Source organism: Homo sapiens, chromosome 1 (genome assembly GCF_000001405.40).
Source record: "Homo sapiens chromosome 1, GRCh38.p14 Primary Assembly".
NCBI lineage: Eukaryota > Metazoa > Chordata > Mammalia > Primates > Hominidae > Homo > Homo sapiens.
Window position 1 is genome coordinate 203,436,484 of NC_000001.11, and position 6,694 is coordinate 203,443,177.

Sequence of the window (6,694 nt, forward strand, 5' to 3'; positions counted from 1 at the left end):
ATACAAAAATTAATCAAGATGGATTAAAGACTTACATGTTAGACCTAAAACCGTAAAAACCCTAGAAGAAAACCTAGGCAGTACCATTCAGGACATAGGCATGGGCAAGGACTTCATGTCTAAAACACCAAAAGCAGTGGCAAAAAAAAGCCAAAATTTACACATGGGATCTAATTAAGAGCTTCTGCACAGCAAAATAAACTACCATCAGAGTGAATAGGCAACCTACTGAATGGGAGAAAATTTTTGCAATCTACCCATCTGACAAAGGGCTAATATCCAGAATCTACGAAGAACTTCAACAAATTTACAAGAAAAAATCAAACAACCCATTCAAAAAGTGGGCAAAGGATATGAACAGACACTTCTCAGAAGAAGACATTTATGCAGCCAACAGACACATGAAAAAATGCTCATCATCACTAGCCATCAGAGAAATGCAAATCAAAACCACAATGAGATACCATCTCACACCAGTTAGAATGGCGATCATTAAAAAGTCAGGAAACAACAGGTGCTGGAGAGGATGTGGAGAAATAGGAATACTTTTACACTATTGGTGGGACTGCAAACTAGTTCAACCATTGTGGAAGACAGTGAGGCGATTCCTCAGGGATCTAGAACTAGAAATACCATTTGACCCAGCGATGCCATTACTGGGTATATACCCAAAGGACTATAAATCATGCTGCTATAAAGACACATGCACACATATATTTATTGAGGCACTATTCACAATAGCAAAGACTTAGAACCAACCCAAATGTCCATCAATGATAGACTGGATTAAGAAAATGTGACACATATCCACCATGGAATACTATGCAGCCATAAAAAGGATTAGTTCATATCCTTTGAAGGGACATGGATGAAGCTGGAAACCATCATTCTGAGCAAGCTATTGCAAGGACAGAAAACCAAATACCTCGGGTTCTCATTCATAGGTGGGAATTGAACAATGAGAACACATGGACACAGGGTGGGGAACATCACACACCGGGGCCTGTCGTGGGGTGAGGGGAGCGGGGAGGGATAGCATTAGGAGATATACCTAATGTAAATGATGAGTTAATGGATGCAGCACACCAACATGGCACATATATACATATGTAACTAACCTGCATGTTGTGCACATGTACCCTAGAACTTGAAGTATAATTAAAAAAAAAAAAAAAAGAAGAAGAAGAAGAAGAAGAAAAGAAAGGTCAGGCCGCTTAGAGCAACAAGCCCCTCCTGATTTACAAGATTCGGTCCGCGCTGCGAGTTTTGGGATTCCACCGAAATCCTTTGGCCCATCCTGCAGTGGCTTGGCACCGGGTTTGTTTTCCAGGCAGATTGCCTCCACCTGCCCTGGAATTTTTCTGGCAATGAGGCCAGCACAGTCAAGGAGAGGGGTCTGGGAGAAGGAGAGCTAGTAGCACCCACCCTGTGGAATGGCAGGAGGCTCTACAGGTCCCTTTGGCATTTGTCAGAGGAGCTAGGAAGGCGGCCTCAACTTCCACCTGTCCCCTCATCCTACTTCTCCCGGGAGCAGGCAGCTGGGTCAGCCAGCCATCAGGATCCAATACAGACTCACCCTAGCTGTTTGGTTTCAGTCTGCCCAGGACGGCAGCTGGAGCTGCGGTGTGGTGGGCAGAGATAAGGTCTCCGCCAGAGGCGGGCATTGAGCAGGGCTGAGATGTCTGGGCGGGAATGGGATGTGGGAGGGGCCACCCTAATATGCGGGATATCATCAGTCCGCTGCCCATCTGAAAAGAAAAGACAGGGACAGGGGCACAGAGAGAGGGGTGGGGGTAGTTCTAAAAGCCCAGGGGAAGGAGAAAAGGAGGAGAAATCAGGATATTGAAGAAAAAATAAACAGATATGGTGGAAAAAGAAGGGAAGAAGGAAAAAAATATTTTTGCATCCTCCTGGAAAGCAAAACAGAGAAAATAACTTCATTCCTAAATTGCAGTAGGAAGTATTGGGCTAGATGGGAGGAAGAAGAGAGGCCCTACCTAACTTTTATCCACTAGCCTGAGTTATACAGTGAAATGCCTTCTTTAGAAGTTCCAGGATAGGATGAAATGCTTTAGAGGGAAGAGAGGGGTCAGCCCTAAATACATGCAGGGAAGTGGGCCAAAAGACCTCTGAGAGGCCCTTCTAAGTAGACCTTAAGATTTTCTAAGAGGGAAAAGACAGAGAAGGCAAAACAACTCTAAGAACCAGAGGAAGGGGCAGAACTGACATTTATTGAGAGCCACCATATCAAGCACAGGGCTGGGCACGCTGCAGACATTATCCCATCTGTAATTCACACTCCAGCCCTCCAAAGTAGGTGCTATTTCTCTGTTTCACAAGTGGGTAATTTGAGTAATATACAAGGCTCTCTTAGTTGAATGGCAATTAAGTAGCAGAATCAGGATTTGAACTCAGGTTTGACACAAATATCCATGGTCTTTCTACCAGGCTCCTTCTTGGGAATGGGCAGTTGGAGGATTCTTACTGGTGGTAGAGGAAGCTGAAATGGTATAATGGAGAGAAGACTGAACCTCAAAGACCAAGGTCAAACAACTGGATCCAACAAGTAAATGATGTCCTGTGACCTTGGACAAATAATTTCCATATCACAGTCTCAGTTTCCCATCTTATAAAGTGAGGGTGGGGGCTAGATGCTCTCTAAAGCCTTTTCCACCTCTGAGCATATGGAATTTAGCTGGAAACTGACTTCCCATTTACTACTGTAGCTTCTCATTTCCTACTGCTGGTATTATGTAATCTTCTGGGCATAAGCTCTAGGTGTGAGAACCGTTCCTGCAGCCTGTTCAAGATTGAAGTCAAGACTGGAAATTATAATGACATTGCCTTAAGTGAGTTTGATCAATGAATAAGTAGTTAACCAAATAAAGAAATAATTCTTTATTAAGCCTCCCATGTGCCCGGTGTGATGTTTAACTGATAATACAAAGGAGAATTGGACTTGATTCTTCAGCTCCAAGGAATTTACAGGCTAATCAGAAATCCACACCCACAAAGGATGTTTGCCAAGTGTGATCAGAAATCACTAACATCTTATGGAAAAGCTTTGAAAGCCATGGCTGCATCAGCCTGCCTCTCCCACTTAGAGACGGGAAAGTTTATGTGAGCCAGGGTCGAGGCTGTTTGGGACTGTGTGATCTCTGTTTTGACGGCTGTGCTTTGCCTCCCTTGATGCTGGCTGCCTCTCACACATTGCTGAAGCCGTAGTTAATTGTCTCTGACTGTAATCGATCATCTCGGAGTGGGGAATCTGGTGCACTGGAACATGACCAGTCTAGGACCATGACCATGGTTCAGTCTAGGACCTGTCTAGGGGGAGACAGACCAGGAATAACAATTCATGGGGATGGCATGAGCATGCGGCAAGCAGAGAGAGGCATGTTGCACTTAGGAACAGTGACCAACCTGACTTCAGAAGGTGAGGTCCTCGCAGGAGAGACCACTGGTGTCAGGAGAGATCAATGGTGTCAGGAGGAGCTGGAGAGACAGGGAGAGGTACAGGTGGAGGCCTTCCTGGCAGAGGGGAGGAGAGTTGTTCACAGGCCTGGAGGAGAGAGAGCAAGGGTCTTGTCCCATGGATTGCAAATAAATGCTTGAGTCAGCTGGAATAGAGGACCAGGGTGCTGTGGGAAGAGGCAGTAATGAAGGGTGGGCAGAGCCAGATGAGAAGGATCTTGCGAGTGAACCGGGGGGCCTGGCTTTATCCTGAGAGTAACAAAGGAGCTGTTCCCCATGCTCCTGTCTAGAACAGCCTACTGTGGACTGTCCCCTTCCTTACCTCTCCTTTTAGGGCTCTCTGCCGCACAGGATACATTCCTTTCTACTTGGCCTGGTCAAATTCCACCCATCCTCTCTGGGCCCTGTTCAGATTTTCTTTCCTCCAGAAAGCCTTCCTAAACTACCTCATTCCACTAATTCACTCAACAAATGTGTACTGAGCTCCTCCAGCAGGCCAGGCACTGTGCTAGGTGGGCCCACCCTCAGGCAGCTTGCAGGGTGCAGTGGTGCACAACCCTCACTGACATTGCCTCCTGTGATCTCTTCCACGTGCCCAGCCAAGGTGGCTGTCAAGGACACATCCATAAGCAGTCTCCTCTGTCCTCAATAGACAGCTCTTCTTCATCTCTGCATTCTGGGGCTGGCTGGCACAGTGCTGGGCACGTGGGGGTCCTCAGCCCATATTTTAGAGATGTCTGGATTTCCAGCAACATTAAACTGAGTGGAAATTTCTCCCAGCTGACACCCACTCCTTTCCCTATTCTCCCTCTGCAGAGAAGAGAGACGGAAGCTCCAGCAGAACCTTTAGCACCAGGATGCAGAAAGAGAATGAGAAAGAGGGATGGGAGGGGAGGAAATGCCTGGGCTGTGTGCCAGCCCCGCATGCCTTGAGCCAAGCTGGGAGTTCGTGGTCCTCTGTGCTCTGGAATGTGACAGGGGCTTGCCAGGGCATCGTGGAGTGGCTCCTCTGCAAGCCACTCACTCCTCACCCTGGACAGAGCTGTGCTGGCAGCTCCTCCTGGGCCTTCCTTGAAGTGCACGGGTGCCCCACGGTGGACAGAAAGCAGGCCGTGATCTCACTCCTCCTGAAGGCTTTTGTCCCATTAACTAAAGGGCTCAGAAGCCTTTGTCCCCATAGGGTGTTGTTCCTTCCCTTGCATGGAGGTGAGCCTTGGGCTCCATGGTGTAAGAATCCCATGTTAAAGCCCTTTCTCTGACATGTGACCTGGGCTCTCTGGGTTTTTGCCTGACAGCGTGGTACACTCGTCCTCAGGTCAGCCCTGGGTCCCTGTGTCATCCTCTGCCAAATCAGGCAGACACCCACCCCCTTCTCATGGGCGTATCTTGCCCAGTGCAACTTTAAGAACAGAATTCAACTCTTCTGAGATTAGTCTAAATGCCCAGATTGGGGCTGGGGCATCCTGTGAAATTCTTCCACCTTCAGGACCCACTCACTGTCTCCAGAGACGGTCCCTGCTCTAGGCAGAGGCATGGAGAGCAGAGGCAAAGGGAACGGAGGCCAAGGAGCCACAGAGGCTAAGGTGAAGGGCTGAGGCGCAAGGCTGCAGGAGGAGTGGGGTTCTCCCTGACTGAGGCAGAGCCCTGGAATGCTGTGGAATGCAGGAGCCTACATCTTTACATTTTATTTTTTGTTTTTTCCTGAATAACCAGCTATGTGTAGCTGCTGGAAAGACACGGGTGTTCACCCCCCAGAAGCCCTGGGATGGGCAGTTCTATCCCTCTTGGCTCATCTCTGAGCTGTCTGCTGGTCCCTCACCTTCTAGGGCATGAGCCTCCTGGAGGGACACTGCCGGTACCCTACCAAGGAGGCTAAGCTGGAGCGAGAGACAGAGATGCAGCAGGGGAAAACAGCTCCAGCGAGCAGTAACCAAACCGGGAAAGGCCAGGAGGACACAGGATTAGAGACAAGGAGGATGGAGGAAAAAGGCAGCTTGGAGGGATCAAAGGATAAGGGACAGTCCGAGGGCAGGGAAAGTGAGCAGGGGCTATATTTATCCACCAGAGAGAAGGAAGCCTGCAGGCCCTTCCTGAGATCCACGAGCTAGGGGCTGGATTAGGGGCTTCTCATTTCATTTCATTTTCAGTGACACATTCCGCTTAATCCTCATCGCAGCAAGGATCCATGCTGCTGTTACAAGAATCTCGGCCTCTGTAAGGAGTTCAAGTAATTTGCTTGAGTATCCAAGACTAAAGTGATGGAGTGGGGATTTGAATCCAGGTCTGTGTGATTCCAAATGGTCCCTAACCCTCTGTCAGCAGCTTACCTGAGAGAGAGGAGGCTGGATCCACTAGTGGAGACAAGAGAACTTGAGCTCCAGAATTCTAGAATTTTAAGACTGACATCGGGGTCCCCTATACCAGCTCTAGCTCCAGGAGAAATTAGATGCAGTGAGAATAATGTTATGTTTCAGTTAGGTAGCCAATTAATTTTGAGAGGAAGTTAGAAAACCAACCAACCTCTCTCCTCCTCCTTCTTTCCTATCCTCCCTGCCTTCCTCCTTCTATTCCTCTCTCCCACCTTCCTTCCCTGCCTCCCTTCTTCTCTCCCTCTAAATTATTTATGGAGCAATTACATGTCAGGCATGATGTAAAGTCTGAAGAACAAACATGAATAAGGGCCAGTCCGTGCTCTTGGGGAACTCACAATCCCTTGGAATATTTCAGGAACCCGAAGCAGCTCTTTACGCGCCCCTCTCTATCAGTTGTTTTTTCCTTCCTGTCTTTACTTCTGTACTTCTGCGTCCACTATCAGGCCCAGCAAACCTCTTCTCCCTCCAGCCCCAGATCCCTCTGTTTTGAGAAGGGGAAGGTCAAGCTCTTGACAAGCCCCTCCCGTCCCGGGGCTACACTAGAGTGGGCAGTGATGCCACAAACAAGGCTTCTAAAAGCCCCGAGCCTTTGAGCTCCTTGCACTCATCTGGACGCAGCTGGGCCCGGGACAGCCCAAATTCTGCAGGTCATAAGTCACGCTGACTTCCAATTCTGGAACAAATGAACAGTTCCTTGGCTTCCATCCTCTTCCCCTCATAGCCACTGACCGACTGTCTCATATGCCCAGAGCCACCCACCACACCCCATTCCTCTCTGCTACTCATTGCAGAGACACTTAGAGCCCCATCACCCACATGGTCCAGTCTCAAAGTGGTTGTCACCAAAT

At 48.6% G+C, this 6,694-nt stretch overlaps 1 annotated feature.

Annotated features, from left to right (window-relative positions):
* Window positions 4,456-4,665: an enhancer, noted in NCBI's record as "active region_2351". NCBI's record gives its function as "activates an Ori minimal core promoter by ATAC-STARR-seq in GM12878 lymphoblastoid cells {active_cell/tissue: GM12878}" and the evidence as "EXISTENCE:reporter gene assay evidence [ECO:0000049][PMID:35858748]".